At 43.5% G+C, this 21,331-nt stretch overlaps 1 protein-coding gene across 13 annotated transcripts in view, besides 2 other annotated features; it reads left to right on the plus strand.

Moving 5' to 3' along the window:
- ZFP1 (ZFP1 zinc finger protein) overlaps positions 1-21,331 on the plus strand; it is a 53,233-nt gene that overhangs the window by 26,420 nt on the left and 5,482 nt on the right. For 3 of the 13 annotated variants that reach the window (XM_024450168.2, NM_001318469.2, NM_001318473.2), the window contains exons 1-2: positions 3,103-3,241; positions 7,488-7,545. In XM_024450168.2, coding sequence (XP_024305936.1) covers positions 7,531-7,545 — 15 coding nt within the window. In that variant the 5' untranslated portion in view covers positions 3,103-3,241; positions 7,488-7,530. Of the gene's footprint in view, positions 1-3,102; positions 3,242-3,479; positions 3,847-7,487; positions 7,546-11,715; positions 11,791-13,731; positions 13,754-21,331 lie in introns of those variants that run through there. The other 10 variants (NM_001318476.2, NM_153688.4, NM_001318474.2 and 7 more) reach the window with 7 other exon arrangements.
- Positions 2,914-2,963: an enhancer, noted in NCBI's record as "active region_11123". NCBI's record gives its function as "activates an Ori minimal core promoter by ATAC-STARR-seq in GM12878 lymphoblastoid cells {active_cell/tissue: GM12878}" and the evidence as "EXISTENCE:reporter gene assay evidence [ECO:0000049][PMID:35858748]".
- Positions 3,324-3,693: a silencer, noted in NCBI's record as "silent region_7709". NCBI's record gives its function as "represses an Ori minimal core promoter by ATAC-STARR-seq in GM12878 lymphoblastoid cells {active_cell/tissue: GM12878}" and the evidence as "EXISTENCE:reporter gene assay evidence [ECO:0000049][PMID:35858748]".

Genomic DNA, 21,331 nt, shown 5'->3' on the forward strand with positions numbered 1-21,331 from the left:
TTCTTACCCTCAAGCTTGGACCCATGGCCCTAAATGAGAACAGGCATTCCTGTTTTCACGCCTGTACGTTGCCTTTTCCAAGACCATTGTGGCCCACCCTGCTCTCTATCCTGTGCCCATAAGAACCCCAAATCCCAGGCTCCACAAACAGAAGAGCAGCAGAGGGGCAGAGGGGCAGAGCTGCAGAGCAAGGTGGTGGAGAAGGAGAAAAGAGAAGAAGCAATTGAGCATTGAAGAGGTAGCTGGATGGTCAGAGAGGAATTTGGCCAGGGACAGCAGAACTCCAGGGGACGATTATCTTCCCACGCCATCCCCTTTCCAGCTCCCCATCCTGCTGAGAGCCACCTCCCTCACTCAATAAAACCTCTGCATTTACCATTCTTCAAGTCCATGTGACCTGATCCTTTCTGGATGCTGGACAAGGACCTGGGTATTAAGAGGGCAGGGTGTAAAAGGCTGTCACCCTCACTCTCCACTGAGCTGGTTAACGCTTAGCTGTCCATGGATGGCAACTGCTAGAAGAGCATTAATTGTAACACACCCCTAGATGCTACCATGGGGCCAGAGCCCAAAGGTGCTCACCCTGGCCCTGGCACCCACTTGCCTCTGTGCTCCCCCTCCCATAAGGGGTTTTAGCACAGTGGCTGAGTAAGCTAGCCACGACAAGTCCCGCGAAGGGGTCCAGGGAACTCTCCTGTCTCATTAACATACTGTTACCACACAATCCAGCAACCATGCTAATTTTTTTTTTTTTTTTTGGAGACGGGGTCTCGCTCTGTCGCCCAGGCTGGAGTTCATTGGTGCAATCTCGGCTCACTGCAAGCTCCGCCTCCCAGGTTCACGCCATTCTCCTGGCTCAGCCTCCCAAGTAGCCGAGGCTACAGGTGCCCGCCACCACGCCCGGCTAATTTTTATTTTTGTATTTTTATTAGAGACAGGGTTTCGCTGTGTTAGCCAGGATGGTCTCGATCTCCTGACCTCGTGATCCGCCCGCCTCGGCCTCCCAAAGTGCTGGGATTACAGGCGTGAGCCACTGCACCCGGCCGCAACCATACGATTTACCCAAATGAACTGGAAACTTATATCCTCACAAAACCTGAACACAGATGTTTAGAGCAGCTTTATTCATAGTTGCCAAAACTTAGAAGCAACCAATGTATCTTCAGTAGGTGAATGGATTTAAAACACTGGTACATGCAGACAGTAGAATATTATGCAGCACTAAAACGAACTGAGGCTGGGCACAGTGGCTCATCCCTATAATCCCCGCACTTTGGGAGGCCAAGGCAGGAGGATTTCTTGATCCCAGGAGTTTGAGACGAGCCTGGGCAACATGGCAAAATGCCATCTCTACAAAAAATACAAAAAATTACCCAGGCATGGCTGTGTATGCCTGTAGTTTTAGCTACTTGGGAGGCTGAACTGGGAGGGTCACTTGAGCCCAGGAAGTGGAGGCTGCAGTGAGCCATGATCGCACCACTGCACTCCAACCTGGGTGACAGAGTGAGACCCTGTGTCAAAAAAAAAAAAAAAAAAAAAAAGCCAGGGTAACTTGAGGGAAACATGAGGGAAACTTAAATGTATATTACTAAATGAAAGAAGCCAATCTGAAAAAGCAACATATGTATGATTCCACCTATATGACAACCTGCAAAAGGCAAAACTATGGAGACAGTAAAAATATCAGAGATTTCCAGGGGTTGTGGGATGGATGAATAAATGGAGCACAGATGATTTTTTGGGGGGCAGTGAAACTATTCTGTACGATACTGTAATGGTTACAGGCATTTGTCAAGACCCATAGAATGTACAACATCAAGTGAACACTAATGTAAGCTATGGACTTTGGGTGCCAATGATTTTGTTTTTTAATTTATACTTTTTGAGACAGGGTCACCCAAGCTGGAGTGCAGTGGCACAATCTTGGCTCACTGAAACCTCAGCCTCCCAGGCTCAAGTGATCCTCCCACCTCAGCCTCCCGAGTAGCTGGGACTACAGGTGCGTGCCACCATGCCCGGCTAATTTTTGTATTTTTTTTTTTTTTTTAAGAGATGAGGTTTCACCATTTTGGCCAGGCTGGTTTCAAATTCCTCGGCTCAAGCAATCTGCTTGCCTCAGGCTCCCAAAGTGCTAGGATTACAGGTGTGAGCCACTGAGCCTGGCCAGGTGCTGATATTTAACTGTAGGTTCACCAATTGTAACAAATACACTGTTCTGGTGTGGGATATCAACTTTGGGGAGGTTGTGTGTGCTGGGGGGACATGGGTTATATGGGAATTCAATGTATTTTCTGCTCAAATTTTGCTGTGAACCTAAAACTGTTCTAAAGGATGAAAGGAACTGAGGGTGAAGGGAAATGGGAAGATGGTGGTCAAGGGGTACAAAGTCTCAGTTATGCAAGATGAGTAGTTCTGGGGAGATGCACAGCTATGTGACGATAGTTGACAATATTGTGTACTTGAAATTTGCTAAGAAGATAGATCTTAAGTGTTCTCATCAGACAAATAACTATGTGAGGTGATGCACATGTTAATTAGCTTGATTATGGTGAATATTTCACAAATGTAGATATCAAGTTGTACATCTTAAATATATAGATCTCAACAAATATATATACCTCAACAAAGTGGCCTGGGAAAAAAGGGAAAAAAGCTAGTTGCAGCACATGATACCTTTATGGCCAGTTTTGTAACAACAACAAAAAAATCAAAGTGCGAACTTAATGTTATACGCAGTTAATCTTTAGAAAGTGAGATTATGGATACTTTATTTTGTACATATATTCTAATTAAATACAGTTATAGATTATTTGTGTAATGTTTAAAAGCCAAGTTGTTGTATTTAAGGGGGAGGTGGTGAATTGTAGTTCACGACCCACTCTGGGAAAAAAGAAAACAGTGCAGGCTAAGGAGATTATTTTGGTCGGCTCATCAGACCGCCTAACAAGGCGAAGACTTTCCTGAGAGTCCCTAAAGCCGCGGCCCCGGAGGCTTGTGGGAAATGTAGTCCCGAACGTGGATGGTCCACCCCTCCGAGGACCCTGGGAACGGCCCGCGCCCCTGTTTCTGCGCATGTGCAGTGCTGCGAGCGCGCCGGTGGCCGCCCTTCCCCCACCACCAGCGGCGAGTGGGTGACAGAGCCCCCGTCTCCGCGCGTCTTCGCCGCCCTGCGCCGTGACCCGCTGTGGCACTGGGCCACGAGTGGAGGCTGCGCCCCTCCAGGTACGAGAGGGGCTTCCAGGTAGCTCCGCGCGGCCTGGGGCCGAGGGGAAGGAGATGAGGGATGGGCTCGTGCCCGCGCAGGGTGGGAGCCCAAACTTCGGCTACTCGTAGGCGGCAGTGACCCTCAGGGCGGCGTCCGGGGTTGCCCGGCGCTCGCCTCTGAACGGGGCCGGCGGGGCACGCCTGGCCGAACGTGCGGGGGCGGGGACGGCGGAGGGAAGGGCGGCTATGAGGCTTCGCCTTCTTCTCTTTGTCAGGAGATGCGCCTCAGACGGGCGGCGAAGGGCTCGGGCCGCGCGGGAGCGAGTTCTGGAGCCCCGGCGGGCGCGCGCGCGCGGGACGAGGCCCCGCCGGGGCGTGGTGGGGGCGTGGCCTGACACACCTGGCCACGCCCCGATGCCCGGTGCCTCGTGGGTGGAGGAAGGACTGGAGCCTGGTCAGTTGCCGGTGGTGAAGGAGAACCGTGATCCCTTTGTCAGAGGGTCTTCAGTGAGGTGTTCCCCTGATCCTCGCATCCACCCCGTGACTTCCAGCGTTATCATCTCCGTCGCTATCCCAGGAACACGGGAGGTTCAGAAGGGGAAAGTGATTTCCCTAAGGTCTCACAACCCGGTGGTACTTTATGTGAGCAGCAGATATTTTTTCATTTATCTTTTGATTTTACTCGCTGGTAGATTTTGCCATGTATACGTTTTGACGTTTTAAATTTCTCTCGGGTGGAATTTACTGTTCTTTCCGTTTGGGGCACCCAAAATTCTTCACTACTTTGAAATACGAAAGTTTTCCCATGATTCTGGTGCAGTCACGCTCTGCGTAACAGTGTTTCTGTCAACGAGGGACCTCATGTAAAATGGTGGTCCTATGTGATTGTAATACTATATTTTTGTATTGTACCGTTTCTTTTCTTTACTTTCTTTTTTTTTTTTTTTTTTTTGAGACGGAGTCTCGCTCTGTCGTCCAGGCTGGAGTGCAGTGGCTTGATCTCGGCTCACTGCAACCTCCGCCTCCTGGGTTAAAGTAGTGCTCTGCCTCAGCCTCCCGAGTAGCTGGGATTACAGGCGTGAGCCACCGCGTCCGGCCAGACACAATTTATTGATGTAACTGTTCCTCTAAATACTACTTTAACTACATCACTCAAATTTTTATATCTTGTATTTTCTTTTCTGTTGTTGTTGTTTTTGAGACTGAGTCTCACTCTGTCACCCAGGCTGGAGTGCAGTGGCACTCAGCTCACTGAAACCTCTGCCTCCCGGGTTCAAGCAGTCCTCCTGGCTGGGATTACAGGCACCCGCCACTACACCTGGCTGATTTTTGTATTTTTAGTAGAGACGGGGTTTCACCATGTTGGCCCGGCTGCTCTAGAACTCTTGACCTCAAGTGATTCTCCCGCCTTGGCTTCCCAAAGTGCTGGGATTACAGGCATGAACCACTGCACCCAGCCTTTTTATTGTGTTTTCATTACCATTCAATTCAAATTTTTTTAACTTCCCTTGTGACTTCATTTTTTACCCTTATTTATTTAGATTGTATTGCATAATTTCCAAGTTTTTGGAGATTTTCCAGATCTTTTTTTTTTTTTTTTTGAGACAGAGTCTCGCTCTGTTGCCCAGTCTGGAGTGCAGTAGCGAGATCTCGGCTCACTGCAAGCTCCGCCTACCAGGTTCACACCATTCTCCTGCCTCAGCCTCCAGAGTAGCTGGGACTACAGGCGCCCGCCACTACACCTGGCTAATTTTTTTATTTTTTTTTGTATTTTTAGTAGAGACGGGGTTTCACCGTGTTAGCCAGGATGGTCTCTATCTCCTGACCTGGTGATCCACCTGCCTCGGCCTTGCAAAGTGCTGGGATCACAGGCGTGAGCCATCGCACCCGGCCCAGATCTTTTTATATTATTGATTTATAGTTTAATTCTGATTTGGTCAGAATACTGTGTTACGAATTTCAATTATTTTAAATTTGTTGTGGTTTGTTTTTGTATTGTATTTTTGTTTCATTTTGTTTTAGTAGACTCCTGGTCTCAAGTGATCCGCTGACCTTGGCCTCCCAAAGTGCTTTACAGGCGTGAGCCACTGCACCAGGCCTGTTGTAGTTTGTTTTAAGGTCGAGGATATGATGATCTCTCTGGGTAACTGTTTCGTGTGTATTTGAATAAATATTGTGCTGTTGATCGTAGAATCTTCCTTGATTGATTGATTGATTGAGACAGGGTCTGTCTCTGTTGCCCAAGCTGGAGTGCAGTGGTTCAGTCACAGCTGTCTGCAACCTCAAACCTTTTGCCTCAGCCTCCCGAGTAGCTAGGACTGCAGGTGTGCGCCCTAATCCTTTTGCCTCAGCCTCCGGAGTAGCTAGGACTCAAGGTGTGAGCCACCACACTCAGCTAATTTTCTGTATTTTTTGTAGAGACGAGGTTTTGCCATGTTGCCCAGGCTGGTCTCAAACCCCTGGGCTCAAGCAGTCCACCCACCTTTGCCTCCCAAAGTGCTGGGTTTACAGGCATGAGCTACTGTGCCTGACCCTCTTTTTCCATTCTTTTATCTTTTTTTTTTTTAATTTCCTGACTCCTACAACTGATCATCCTTTTACTTTGAATGTAGCTATGTTTTTATATTTTAAACAAACTGCTTATAGACAGCACATGGTTTGGTCTTACTTTTTTTATATAATTTGACCTCTGTTATTTAATTGGTGTGTTTATGCCAATTATTGATATAGTTGTGTTAAAGTCTACCATCTTGCTGGTTTTTTTCTGTTTTTCTTATTTGGTCTTTGTTTCTGTTTACCTTTTTTTCTGTCTACTTTTGTCTTAAGTGGGTCTTTTTTATAATTACATTTTATCTCCACTGTTGTCTTATTGTATATTTGTAAAAATTTAACAGAGTTTTTGGTTGTTACCCTAAAGTTTAGTGGAACTTTAAAGATATCATACTGTTTTATGTCAATATACTTGGAACATTATACTCCCAATTTCATCCTCCCGTCTTTTGCATTATTGTTGTCATACATGTTGCAGAATATTGACATATGCTGTAAACCCACAAAACTTTGCTACTATTTTTGCTTTAGATAATCTTTCACAGTGATTAAAAGCAAGAAAAAGTATCTATTGTGTTGATCCTCATTTTAACGATTCTCGAGATTTTCATTTATTTGTGTAGATTCAGGTTTTTGTCTGATATCATATTTCTTCTATTTAAATAACTTCATTAAACATTTCTTCTAGTGCAGGTCTACTGATAATGAATTCGCTATGTTTTTGTTGTTTGAAAAAGGTTTTTTACTTCATTATCATTTTTGAAAGATATTTTTGCTGGGTATAGAATTCTGAGTTAATAGTTTTTTGCTTTAGTTGCTTTTTTGTTGTTGTGAAAGCACTTTCAGGATGTCACTACTTTGTTTTCTGGCTTAGTTTCTGATGAGAAGGTGGCTATGATTCATTATCTTGATTTTTCTACATATAATATGTCTTTTTTCCTCTGGCTACTTTGAAGATTTTAACTTTGGTTTTCATTTGTTTGGATACGATGTGTCCATGTGTGTTTTTGTTTGAGTTTAGTTTTTGGTATTTTCCCTGTTTGGATAAATTGAGTTTCTTGGACCTGTGGTTTCATATTATTATTTTTGGAAAATTCTTGTCCATTATGTCTTCAAATACTTCTTTTCTCCTTTTGGAATTTCAGTTACATGTTTATTAGACCATTTGATATTGTCTCACAGCCCTTGGATGCTCTATCCTTTTATGTTTTTCTTCCATTTCTCTTTGAGTTTCAGTTTGACCTATCTTCAAGTTTACTGAAACTTTTCTTAGCTCCTTTGTCTACTAATGAACCTGCTGAAAGATCAACTCTGTTACTGTACTTTTCTTAGCATTTCCATTTGATTTTTTCTTGCAGTTTCCATCTCTGCTGAAATTCCCTATTTGTTTATTCATGTTGTCCACCTTTTCTAGTAAAGCCTTTAGTATATGAATCATAGTTGTGTTAAATGCCCTGTCTGATAATTTCAGCAGTTGAGGGTTCTGTTGATTGTTTTGCCTCTTTTGATAGTGGATTATCTTAGTCTTGCCTTTATGGGTGTCTGATAATGTTAGATTGAAGATAGGTGCTGTTAGTATGATCTTTTCTGCCCCTTCTGAAGAGGCAAAGGGACTTTCCCAGGAGGTGGTATTTTCCCAGGTGGTCTCTAGGGGTTTCTAAACAAGTCATTCTAGGAGTTGTAAGGCAGGTCAGACCTTTAATAACAATGCCTTCCTTTTTCCTCTATTCCAGTTCTGCCTTCATAGTTCTCTGCCTTTGCCCAAAACTGCAGAAAATGAACAAATCCCAGGTGAGTTGTTTGTTTATTCCCCATTTTGCTTTTCAGTGCATTTAAGGAAGTTTATAAGGATCCAGAAAATGAAATAGAAAAGTATGAATAAGACACAAAGGAAACATAGCAAGAATAACTAATCAATACCAGCAGCCAAAAAGCAAATTGAGTTAATTAAATGTCTTGCATTGGTTATGAATACCAATTATTTGGTTCTGTACATTAGGTCTGAATAAATTTTATGGACCTTCATATAGATGGTGTTTTGGACAGCACCCCCAGAAACAACCAACTTTGAAAGGGTTATCACTTTATCTGTGGTTGTTTCATATAACATTCCTCAGTGCAAGTGCAGAAGATTATTGTATGTATTTGGTTTTTCCAGTCAGATTAGCCTAATGCCAGAGAATGCAGTAAATATGTGGGTTTGTATTTAAATCCCTCCACCCCAAGCAGGTACCACTGTCATTACTTTCTTGTGTAGCTTTCCAGAGCTTATTTGTACATAATTACACAAGTACAAATAAAAGCACAAACGTAAGATAGCATGTTAATCATACTGTTCTGTTTATATGCGTTCTGTTTTAATAGATTTCATTTTTTTTAGAGCAGTTTTGGGTTTACAGAAAAATTGAATGGGGAATGCAGTGTGTTCCCATATACCCCCTCATTCCCAACCCCTACCCCCAGTTTCCTTTATTATTAATATATGCATTAATGTATATTGTTACAGTTGATGAGCCAATATTGATACTTTAAAGACCATAGTTTACAGTAGGGATCACTCTCTGTGTACATTCTGTGTATTTTGACCAATATATAATGACATGTATCCATCACTATGGCATCATACAGAATAGGTTCACTGCCCTGAAAATCCCGTGCTCCGCCTATGCACCTCTCCCTCTGTCTCCCTAAGTCCCTAACACCCACTGATCTTTCTACTGTCTCATCTCCCTAGTCGTGTCTTTTCTAGAATGTCATATAGTTGGATTCATGCAGTAGGTAGCCTTTTTAGATTGGTTTCCTTCACTTAGAAATATGCATTTAAGGTTTCTCCAAGTTCAAGACAATGCTGGCCAACACGGTGAAACCCCGTCTCTAGTAAAAAAAAAAGTACAAAAAATTAGCCAGGCGTGGTGGCGGGCGCCTGTAGTCCCAGCTACTCGGGAGGCTGAGGCAGGAGAATGGCGTGAAGCCAGGAGGCGGAGCTTGCAGTGAGCTGAGATCGCGCCACTGAACTCCAGCCTGGGCAACAGAGCGAGACTTTGTCTCAAAAAAAAAAAAAGAGAAGGTTCCTCCAAGTCTTTTCTTGGCTTGATAACTCATTTCTTCTTAGTACTGAATATGTCATGATGTGATGTACCACGGTTTATTTATCCATTCACATATTGAAGGAACAGATAAACTTAGTGGCTTCTAAGTTTTGGCAATTATAAATAAAGCTGTTATAAACATCTGTGTGCAGGTTTTTTGGGGGCATGTTTTCAACTCATTTGGATAAATACCAAGGCCCCTGGATCATACACTAAGAATATAATTAATTTTGTAAGAAACTGCCAAACTCCCTTCAATGTGGCTGTACCATTTTACATTCCCACATTCTCACCAGCAATGAATGAGAGTTTTTTTTTTTTTTTTTTTTTGGTTTTAAGGAGCGGAAAGTTTAATAGGCAAGAAAGAAAAGAGAAGGCAGAAGGAAGAGGCTCCCCTGACAGAGACAGAGGGAGGGGGGCTCCAAAGCCGAGAGAGGGAACCTCCTGAATGAGAGTTTCTACGGCCCTGCATCCTCACCAGCATTTTGTGTTGTCAGTGTTCTGGATTTTAGCCATTTTATTTATTTATGTTTTTAATTTTTATTTTTTTTGAGATGGAGTCTTGCTCTGTCACACAGGCTGGAATGTAGTGGCGTGATCTTGGCTCAGTGCAACCTCCCCTTCCCAGGTTCAAGTGATTCTCCTGCCTCAGCCTCCCGAGTAGCTGGGATTACAGGTGCGCACCACCATAGCCCAGCTAATTTTTGTATTTTTAGTAGAGATGGGGTTTCACCATGTTGGTCAGGCTGGTCTCGAACTCCTGGGCTCAAGTGATCCACCCACCTTGGCCTCCCAAAATGCTGATTACAAGCGTAAGTCACTGTGCCTGGTTATGGTTTGTGTTTCAATCTCTTAATTATGTGATTTGATTTTGTTTTGTTTTTGAGACAGGGTCTCGCTCTGTCACCTAAGTGGGAGTGCAGTGATGTGAACACGGTTTACTGCAGCCTCGACTTGCTGGACTCAAGCAGTCCTCCTGCCTAAATCCCCGCAAGTAGCTGGGACTACAGGCACATGCCGCCATGCTTACCTAATTTTTTGTATTTTTTTGTAGAGATGGAGTTTTGCCCTGTCGCTCAGGCTCATCTTGAACTCCTGAGCTCAAGCAATCCATGTCCACCTCAGTCTCCTAAAGTGCTGGCATTACAGGTGTGAGCCACCGTGCTCAGCCCAATTATGTGTTTTTTAAATCATTCAGTAACATATCTTTGAAGTATTTCCATATCAGAGCATAGAGGTTGCTCATTCTTTTTTTTCCTAATCTTTAATTGTGTGACACATGTACAGAATAGTGTATTAAGACATAACACTCTTTAAATGTGTTATAACAACATATATAACAAATATATATGCATTAAAGAATAATAATAAAATGGGTGCCCATGTAGGCACCCAAGTTAAGAAATAGAACATTATCTGTTCTTTATGACAAATTTTCTGATTGAATCCACCTAGTAGATAGCCACTATCTTGACATTTTTCTTAATAGTTCCCTTGCTTTCCTTAAAGACTTTACCACTTAGATATATTCTTAATGTAATATTCAGTTGATAAACTATAACTGGGATTAATATCACTTATAGTCTTAATATAAAATTTAGTTAACAAACTATAACTGGAATTAATATTGCCTTGGTTTGCATAATCTTTTGTCTAATTGGTGGAGGTTTTTTTTTCCTTTCAGACATGTGAGATCTAAAAGATGCATCCGTGGGCCCTTTGCCAAGACTTAGGTTATCATTTATTTTTTAAATTACACTAGCTAGTGTTAGCTAAGAAGAAATGAAACCACTCATGTATTGCTGGAGATAGTATAGAATGATACAGCCTTACTGGGAGCAATGTGGCAACACCAAGCAAATTTAGCAGTGTAAAGCAGCTGTGTCTAGAAATTTGGCTACTGTTGGGGCCAGGTGTGGTGGGTCACGCCGGTAATCCTAGCACTTTGGGAGGCCGAGGTTGGTGGATCACTTGAGGTCAGGAGATCGAGACCAGCCTGGCCAACATGGCGAAACCCTGTCTTTACTAAAAATACAAAAAAAATTAGCCGGGCGTGGTAGCATGCGCCTGTAATCCCAGCTACTTCGGAGGCTAAGGCAGGAGAATCGCTTGAACCCAGGAGGTGGAGGCTGCAGTGAGCCGAGATCATGCTACTGCACTCCAGCCTGGGCAACAGAGTAAGACTCTGTCTCAGAAAAAGAAAAGAAAAGAAAAGAAATTTTGCTACTGTTGGACAAAGCCTCCCAGGAAAAGATGAGCTGAATTGAATTTCCAGGTATAGCCTGGCTTTGACTTTCCTGAGAGTTTACAGAAGTCCCGTTTGGGGAGGTTATTGGCAAGGTCATGAGAAGCATGGGGCTCAACATAGTTGGGCCGTGTGACAGGGTCAGAGTGTAGACTAGGTATTGAATTTTTGGTACGAATATAATTAGAGGGAGTGGGATGCTATGCATTTTCTGCATCTTGGTTCACTGGTGAATAGCCACCACTCAGGAGTAGATTAAAGCAGAACACTTCTGTGACATGAAATGACTGTTCTCATCTGATCCAAGGCAGTCTGGTATGGAGGGGAAAGACAGATGTCATCAGAACATGTTCAAGATAAGCCAAACCAAGTACAGTTAAGAATCTGGGCCAGGCTCACCCAGGCATTCTGCCCTCAGGTTAATAAAAAGTTGGTACAGTGGCCGCAGGTATCTTGTTGATGACAACCCTCAGAATGCCAGCTTTTGAATCACTGTGTTCCAGTCCGTAACTACAAGTAATGTGGTGTTAGTAGAGAATCAGTGCTATTTCACCATCTCCCACCGCTGTCTCCTTCCCACTCCTAGGGATTTCCTTCCTCTCTCTCATGTTGATCTTTTGTTTGCAGCGTCTCTTTTTTGGATTACTGTTGTTTTATTGAAGTACATGCTTCAGCAGCTTCTTGAGAAAGGGTTTGTGAGAGGTATGTTTTTTAGGCTGAATTTCTGAAAATGTCTTTTTTTTTTTTTTTTTTTTGAGACAGTCTCACTCTGTCTCCCAGGCTGGGGTGCAGTGGTGTGATCTTGGCTCACTGCAATCTCTACCACAGGGTTCAAGCAATTCTCCCGCCTCAGCCTCCTAAGTAGCTGTGATTACAGGTGTGTGCCACTACACACGGTGAATTTTTGTATTTTTAGTAGAGACGGGATTTCACCCTGTTGGCCAGGCTGGTCTTGAACTCCTGGCCTCAAGTGATACGCCCTCCTCAGCCTCCCAAAATGCTAGGATTACAGGTGAGAGCCACTGCACCTGGCCTTCATTCTGTTCTGGTATTTGATTGATAGCTAGGTATGAATGTGGATTTGTCCATTCCTCAGTTTAGTTCTGTCAGGCTTGATATAATTTGAAGCTGTGTTAGTCATTGCATATATGGTTATGGATGTGTGCACACATATGATTCTGTCTTCCTGATGGACTTATCCTTTTATCATTTTGAAATGCCCCTCTTTATCCCTGATAATACTGCTTTTCTGATAAAAATAAAGCCATACCTACCTCTTCTGGGTTGGTTGGTTGGTTTGTTTTGAGACCGGATCTGGCTCTGTTACCCAGGCTGGAGTGCAGTGGCTTGATCTTCACTCACTGCAGTCTTTGCCTCCTGAGTTCAAGTGATCCTCCCAGTATTTGGAACTACAGGCGTGTACCACCATGCTCAGGCAATTTTTGTAGTTTTGTTTTTGGTAGAGATGGGATCTCGCCAGGTTGCCCAGGCTGGTCTCAAACCCCTAGGCTTACGAGATCTGTCTACCTCAGCCTCCCAAAGTTCTGGGATTACAAATGTGAACCACCATGCCTGGCCCATACCTCCTTTTTTTTATGATTAGTGTTATGGTATATATTTTATTTTTGCTTCAACCTATTTATGTTCATATGTTTATAGTATATTTCCCCTAAATAGCTTGTAGTTTGGTCGTGGTTTTGATCCAGCCTGTTTCTTTTTTCTTTTTTTGAGACAGGGTCTTCCTCTGTTGCCCAGGGTGGAATTTAGTGGCATGAACACAGCTCACTGCAGCCTCAAGTTCCTTGATCCAGCCTATTTCTGTCTATTTTTTTTTTTTTTTAATTTTTTTTATTTTTTGAGACAGGATCTCTCTTTCTCACCCAGGCTGCAGTGCTGGAGTGAAGTGGTGTGATCTTGGCTCATTGCAGCCTCAAGCAGTTCTCCCACGTCAGCCTCCTGAGTAGCTGGGACTACAGGCCTGTGACAGTTAATTTTAATTTTAATTTTTTTTATTTTTTTTGTCGTGATGAGATCTTGCCTCCCAAAGGGCTGGGATTATAGGCGTGAGCCACCATGCCTGGCCTATTTCTGTCTTTTAATTGGTTTATTATTTTATTTGTGATTTTTTTTTTTTTTTTACAGGCATAGGTGAATTTCAGTGTGTCATTTTGCTATTTATTTTTAGTTGTCCTGTGTGTTCCTATTTTCCCTTTTATCTTTTTTTTAAGTGGTTGCTGTAGAGATTACAGCTTATAATCTTAACTGACCACCTCTTTAATATTTTGCATATTACTTTACAGTTCGTCTGAAGTGTTTATGGGTTAAAACTAATATATAGGTACTGTCTACATCTGCTCCTTTTGGGTTGTTTATCTCTTGATTGTTTTTGTCTTGTCTTTTTTTTTTTTTTTTTGAGACAGAGTCTTGCCCAGACTAGAGTGCAGTGGCTTGATCTCCATTCACTGCAACCTCTGCCTCCCAGGCTCAAGTGATCCTCCCACTTCAGCCTCCTTAATAGCTGGGACTACAGGCACATGTCATTATGCCCAGCTAATTTTTGTATTTTTTGTAGACATGGAATTTCGTTGTGTTGTCCAGGCTGGTCTCGAACTCCTGGGCTCAAGCAATCCACCCACCTTAGCCGCCCAATGTGCTGGGATTTCAGGTATGCGCCACATGCCTGGCCTCGTTGTTTTGGCTTGCTTGATTTCTCCTTCATTCCTTCCTTCCTTCCCTTCCCTTCCCTTCCTTTCCCTTCCTTCCCTCACTTCCCTTCCTTCCCTCCCTTCCCTCCCTTCCCTCCTTTCCCTCCTTTCCCTCCCTCCCTCCCTCCCTCCCTCCCTTCTTTCCTTTCCCTCCCTCCCTCCCTTCCTTCCTTTCTCTCTCTCTCTCACTTTTCATTTTTTTTTTTTTTTTTTTGACAGAGTCTTGGTTACCCCCAGACTGGGGTACAGTGACAACGCTCACAGTTCACTGTAGCTGTGACCTCCTGGGCTCAGGCAACCCTCCCACCCCAGCCTCTTGTGAAGCTGGGTCCACAGACATGTGCCACTATGCCCGGCTAATTTTTGTACTTTTTTTAGACAGGGTTTTGGTATATTGCCCAAGCTGGTCTCAAACTCTTGGGCTCAATTTGTCCACCTGCCTCAGCCTCCCAAAGTGCTGGGATTACAGTCATGAGCCACTATACCTGGCCCTGGTTTTGCTTTTTCACATGTCTAGCAGTTTTGTTTGTATGCTGGATATGTTGTATGATACATAGCTCCTTCTAAAAAATGTTAAGTTTTGTCTGCCAGATAGCTAAATTATTGGCAGATGATTCTGATCCCATTGGGGCATGTTTTAAGATTTGCAGGTGTGGGTGTATCGGTTTGGTCATACTCCTTTCTCCTAGGGTGTGCTCCATCCTTCTAGGGCATGGCTTTTGTGGCATCTCAACTGTTTGCCAGTATCTCTATCTTTCTGGATTCAGACTGTCCCAGCTCCTCAGCACTATGCAACCTCTGAAATCTCTAGTCAGCTCTCAGTCTCACAGTCGATGCCACTAGTTGTCTTGGAGGCTTGCCCTCCACCTACACATATTAGGAACTAGCCAAAGATTTGAGGTGAATCTTTATGCAGAATGTTAAGGCTTCTCTATGGCTTCTGTAGCGCCATCATCCTATGTCTTACTCCATTTTGTGCTGCCATGGCAGAATACTTGAGACTAGGTAATTTATAAAGAACAGAAGTTTATTTTCTTGGCTGGGCAAGGTAGCCATGCCTGTAATCTCAGCACTTTGAAGGGCCAAGGTGGGTGGATCCCTTGAGGGCAGGAGTTTGAGACCAGTCTTGCCAACATGTACTAAACCCATCTGTACTAAACCCCATCTGTACTAATCCCATCTGTACTAAACCCCATCTGTACTAAACCCCATCTATACTAAAAATACAAAATTTAGCCAAGTGTGGTGGCTAACCCCATCTGTACTAAACCCCATCTGTACTAAAAATACAAAAATTAGCCAAGTGTGGTGGCACTTGTCTGTAACCCCAGCTACTTAGGTGGCTGAGGCACAAGAATCACTTGAACCTGGAAGGTGGAGGCTGTAGTGAGCTGAGATCATGCCACTGCACTCCAATCTGGGTGACAAAGCGAGACTGCCTCAAAAAAAAAAAAAAAAAAAGGAAGAAATTTATTTTCTCACAGTTCTAGAAGCTGAGAGTCCAAGATCAAGGTGCTGGTGAAGGCCTGGTCTCTTCTTCCAGGATGGCACTTGAAATGCTGCATCCTTCAGAGGGGAGGAGTGCTGTGTCCTGGCATGGCAGAAAGCAAAAGGGCAAAAAAGGAGATGAACTCCTTTCATCAAGCCCCGTTAGAAGGGCTCCTAACCCCGCTCACAAGGGGAGGAGCCTCTATGATCCAATCACCTCTCAAAGGCCACACCTCCCAATACTTAATTGGGGATTAAGTTTCAACATGAAATTTTAGAGAGGACAAAAATACTCAAACCATAGCATTGCCCCTAGATCCTAGTTGCTTTACAGACCCAAACACCAGTTTGTATTTTTTTTTAATTTATTTAATTAATTTTCAAGATGGAGTCTTGCTCTTGTTGCCCAGGCTGTAGTGCAGTGGCACCATCTTGGCTCACTGCCACCTCCGCCTTCCGGGTTCAAGCGATTCTCCTGCCTCAGCCTCCCGAGTAGCTGGGATTACAAGGTGTGCGCCACCACGCCTGGCTAATTTTTGTATTTTTAGTAGAAACGGGGTTTCTCCACGTTGTCCAGGCTGGTCTCGAACTCCTGGCTACAAGTGATCTCCCCGCCTCGGCCTCTCAAAGTGCTGGGATTACAGGCGTGAGCCACTGCGCCCGGCCAACAACACTCACTTCTGCTTGGGCTTTGTTGTTCTGTGCCATGGTTCAGCATGATCGTAAATGTGTGGCTCTCCTCATAGATGCCTTTTGGTAATTGTAGCCCTACAGTGATTGCTCTCCTGTGCTTGCAAGTAATTATTTATTTTGTCCAGTTTTTATGGTTTGCCTGTCTGATAATTTTGAAGATACTGCTTTCTGGTGTAGTCAAGAGGTCTGAAGGCTTTCAGTCTTCTTACTTGTAACCTATTCTCTCCTGAAACTCACAGGCTTTTCTCTTTGCAGCTGGTGTTCTGAAATTTCCTTCGAATTTTTTTCTTCCATTATGCATGGTAGATTATAAGATTTCTTTATTTCACAGAAATACAAATAAAGCATAGTAGTTTTATGAAATATATATATATATATATTTTTTTTTTTTTTTTTTTTTTTTTTCCTGAGATGGAGTCTCACTTGTCATCCAGGCTGGAATGCAGTAGCACGATCTAGGCTCACTGCACCCTCCACCTCCCAGGTTCAAGCGATTCCCCTGCCTCAGCCTCCCAGGTAGCTGGGACTACAGGCGCCCGCTACTGTGCCCGGCTAATTTTTGTATTTTTGGTAGAGAAAGGGTTTCCCCATGTTGGCCAGGCTGGTCTCGAACTCCTGACCTCATGTGATCCGCCTACCTCGGCCTCCCAAAGTGCTGGGATCACAGGCGTGAACCACCGTGCCCAGCCGAAATATTTTTATGTATTAAAACAGTTGAAAGTAACTTCAGTATGGTGCAGCTTTTGAGACAGGGTCTCACTTTGTCACCCAGGCTGGAGTGTGGTGGTGCAATCTCAGCTCACTGCAGCCTGGACCTCCTTGGCTCAAGCAATCCTCCCACCTCAGCCCCCTATGTAGCTGGGACTACAGGCAGGCACCATCAAGCTGGGCTTTTTGTATTTTTTTTTTTAGAGATGGGGGTCTCGCCCTGTTGCCCAGACTGGTCTTGAACTCCTGACCTTAAGTGATCCACCTGCCTTGGCTCCAAAGTGCTAGGATTACAGGCATGAGCCACTGCGTCCAGCCCAAGTATAGGTCAACTTAATTATCCGCCTATTTTGCTGTCTAGTCAGTGCCTAACATTTTGACGTTTCCATGTATTGTGTATGTTGAAGATTTTTTTTAAATATAATTTCAACTTATTTGAGATTTGGGGGTACATGTGCAGATTTGTTACATAGATATTTTTATGATGGTGACGTTTGGGGTATGATTGATCATGTCACCAAGTAGTGAGAATAGTACCCAATAGTTTTTGCCTTTGCCCCTCCCTTCCCTACCAGTAGATCCCAGTGTCTGTTGTTACCATCTTTATGTTCGTGAGTACCCAGAGTTTAGCTCCCACTTATAAGTGAGGATATGCGCTATTTGGATTTCTGTTTGTGTTAATTCAGTTAGGTTAATACCCTCCACCTGCATCCATGTTGCTGCAAAGGATATGATTTCATTCTTTTATATGGCTGTGGTTTTAAAATTTATATTACTTGTATTATATTTTAAATGTATTAAAATGTAATTTTTCTTTTTTTTTTTGGAAACAGTCTTGCTCTGTTGCCCAGGCTGGAGTGCAGTGGCACAGTCTTGGCTCACTGCAAGCTCCGCCTCCTGGGTTCAAGCGATTCTTCTGCCTCAGCCTCCCGAGTAGCTGGGATTACATGCGCCCACCACCACGTCCGGCTAATTTTTGTATTTTTAGTAGAGACGGGGTTCGCCATGTTGGCCAGGTTGGTCTCGAACTCCTGACCTCGTGATCCACCTGCCTCGGCCTCCCAAAGTGTTGGGATTACAGGCATGAGCCATTGCGCCCGGCCAATGTTTTTTATATTACAAAAATCATACATTAATGTTGTCTCTTACTGTCTCTATCATATGAGGATCTGCCCTCCCCAGCGTGCATTGTTGTTTTTTTTGTTTTGTTTTGTTTTTTTGAGTACATTCTTGCTCTGTTGCCCAGGCTAGAGTGTAGTAGTGTAGTGGCATGATCTCGCTCACTGCAACTTTTGCCTCCCGGGTTCAAGCAATTCTCCTGCCTCAGCCTCCTGAGTAGCTGAGACTACAGGTGCCCACCACCATGCCCGGCTAATTTTTGTATTTTTAGTAGAGACGGGGTTTCACCATGTTGTCCAGGCTGGTATCAAACTCCTGACCTCAGGTGATCCACCTGCGTCGGCCTCCCAGAGTGCTGGGATTACAGGTGTGGCCACTGCACCCAGCCTTTTTTTTTTGTTGTTGTTGAGACAGGGTCTTGCTGTGTCTCCAGGGCTGAAGTGCAGTGGCATGATCACGGTTCACTGTAGCCTTGACCTCCCAGGCCCAAGCTGTCCTCCTACCTGAACCTCCCACATAGCTGGGACTACAGGTGTGCACCACCACGTCCAGCTAGGTGTTCTGTTGTTGTAGAGACAGGGTCTTGCCATGTTGCCCAGGGTGGTCTCAAACTCCTGAGCTCAAGCAGTCCTCCTGCGTCATCCTCCCAAATGCTGGGATTACACACATGAGCCACAGCACCGGCACTGTTTATGTCACCTCACTCAATCCTAAAATTTTCTTGACCATTAAAGCCAGTCTTTCCATCATAGAGATAACCAGTATGTTTTGTGTGGGGTATCCATGCTCTTTGTTTAATCACTTTTATATCATGAACAGGATTATATAGAATTTTGGGTCATGTTATGTGCATTTTTTGGAATTCTGTTTATTGATGTTCCTGTGGACAGCTTCCTGTGCCTTTTGTTTTCAGGCTTTGTTACTTTGTTTATATTTTAGCTGGATCATTGAAGTTTGTGTTGTTTTTAAAATTTGCCTCTTGTAAAAATTATATGTAGGTTTTTAAACCCTGAAGGTCTTAGTCTTTTAACAGACATTTATCCCATTTTTATTTTGATTACTGATTTTATCTGCTTTTCCTTCTCTGCTTATTTCCACCCTTTAAAGGTTTATATTTTTTCAGTACTTTCCTATTTTAAACAAAAGTTAATCAGAATTTTTCTTCCAAACATGGTACTTTCTTCCTGCCACAACTTCTAAGTTGATGACATCCAGAAATTAGTTTAAAACAACTTCCTTTCCCATTCCATATTTGCATACTTTTAATATGTTTTGCTGGTTTGCTGTTGCTTTTTTTGCACATCCAACTGATTCTTGCTGGGCTTAATTTTGGTTTTGGTACATCTTTGAATAGTGGTAATAATGCCTGATACTTGACATCTATTATGTACTAGTCATCATTCTAGATCGGGGGTGTCAAACTCTGGCTCGTTGTCCAGATGGGCTGCTGCCTTGTTTTTATGTGACCCACAAGCTAAGAATGGTTTTTAATTTTAATGGTTGAGGGGGGGAATATCAAAAGAATATTTTGTGCTGTGAAAATGATTTGAAATAAAAATATGAAACTCAGATTTTAGTTTCCATAAGTTTTTTTTTTTTTTTGAGGCGGAGTTTCACTCGTTGCACAGGATGGAGTGCAATGGCACGATCTCGACTTACCGCAACGTCCACTTCCTGGGTTCAAGCGATTCTCCTGCCTCAGCCTCCTGAGTAGCTGGGATTACAGGCATGCACTACTATGCCCGGCTAATTTTGTATTTTTAGTAGAGACGGGGTTTCTCCATTTTGGTCAGGCTGGTTTTGAACTCATGACCTCAGGTGATCCACCCACTTCAGCCTCCCAAAGTGCTGGGATTACAGGCATGAACCATCGCGCCCGGCCTCCATAAATCGAGTTTTATTGGAACACAGCCATGCCTATTTGTTGACGTGTTGCCTATGCCTGTTTTTGTGGTATGATGGCCAAGTCGGTTTGTTTTAGCAGAGACTACATGTAGCCTGAAAAGGAAAAATCTAGTTAGTTACTTACTTGACCCTTTATAGAAAAAGTTTGTCAACCAACTCATTCTAAATACTTTCAGCCCTTTGAAGATTTGTCTTCTGACTTCCATTGTTTTTGTTGAGAAATTAGCTGTCAGGTTTTTTGTACCTCTGAAGGCAATACCTGTTTTTTCCTCTGGGTTTTTTTCTGAGACAGAGTCTTGCTCTGTCACCCAGGCTCAAGTGCAGTGGGGCAGTCTGGGCTCACTGCAGCCTCCACCTCCCAGGTTCAAGCAATTCTCCTGTCCCAGCCTCCCGAGTAGCTGGGATTACAGGCGCCCTCTACCACACCCGGATAATTTTTGTATTTTTAGTAGAGATGGGGTTTCACCATCTTTGCCAGGTTGGTCCCGAACACCTGTGATCCGCCCACCTCGGCTTCCTAAAGTGCTGGGATTACAGGCCTGAGCCTGGCCACCTCTGGGGTTTTAAATCAGTTTTGTTATATGCTGAGTATTTTTTTTTTTTAATGTACTTATTGTACTTGGGGTTGCTGGTTTTAAAACTATAGCCTGGTGTGGGGTGTGTTGGAAAATTCTCAGCTGTTATCTCTTCAAATATTGTTTCCACTGCCTCTGCTGGGACTCCTGCTGCAAGTATATTAGACCTTTTTAGCTTGTCCCACATATCTTTTAGGCTCCTTAATGTACCTTTTGCATTTCAGTTTAGATATTTACTGACATTTTTTGACTAATCATTTCTTCAGCCATTCTGGCCTGTTAAATTCAACCATGTATTTTTTAAAAAAATTTTCTACCATTTTTATGGCTTGAATGAGGGGATGGAAGGACAGAGATCCTTACTTGTACCTGGTATTTTACAGTTGGAAGTTCATCTTCTGCCTTAAAGAGTTAAAACTTTGACTATTTAAACATCGATGTCACAGAAATAATGCCTATGTGAGCTTTATTAGCACACTGGTAACAATGAATATCTAATGTGCTTGTCTCACAGTACACATCTTGAGAGCAGAAACAGTGTTTATTTTTTGAGACAGTCTTACTCTGTTGCCCAGGCTGGAGTATAGTGGTGCAGTCTTGGCTCACTGCAGCCTCTGCCTCCCGGGTTTAAGCAGTTCTCCTGTCTCAGCTCCCCCACGTAGCTGGGAGTACAGGCATGTGCCACCATGCCCGACTAAATTTTAGTAGAGATGGGATTTCACCATGTTGTCCAGGCTGGTCTCGAACTCCCGACCTCAAGTGATTCCCCCGCCCACCTAGCCTCCCAAAGTGCTGGGATTACAGGTGTGAGCCACTATGCCTGGCCAATAGTGTTTTATTAATCTGAGACACCTATCAAATATGACAGTGCCAGAGATATAGGGGAATCTGAATAAATCTCAACTATTTATAAAAATATATTTTGGAAGACATGAACAAAAACAGTGAACAAGATGTATCGTTGGTGTAATATATAGATTTTCATGATGAATGACATAAAGTTTTCATCTATCCTTTCTATATCACCAAATGATCATCTTAGGATGAATA

Source organism: Homo sapiens, chromosome 16 (assembly GCF_000001405.40).
Source record: "Homo sapiens chromosome 16, GRCh38.p14 Primary Assembly".
NCBI lineage: Eukaryota > Metazoa > Chordata > Mammalia > Primates > Hominidae > Homo > Homo sapiens.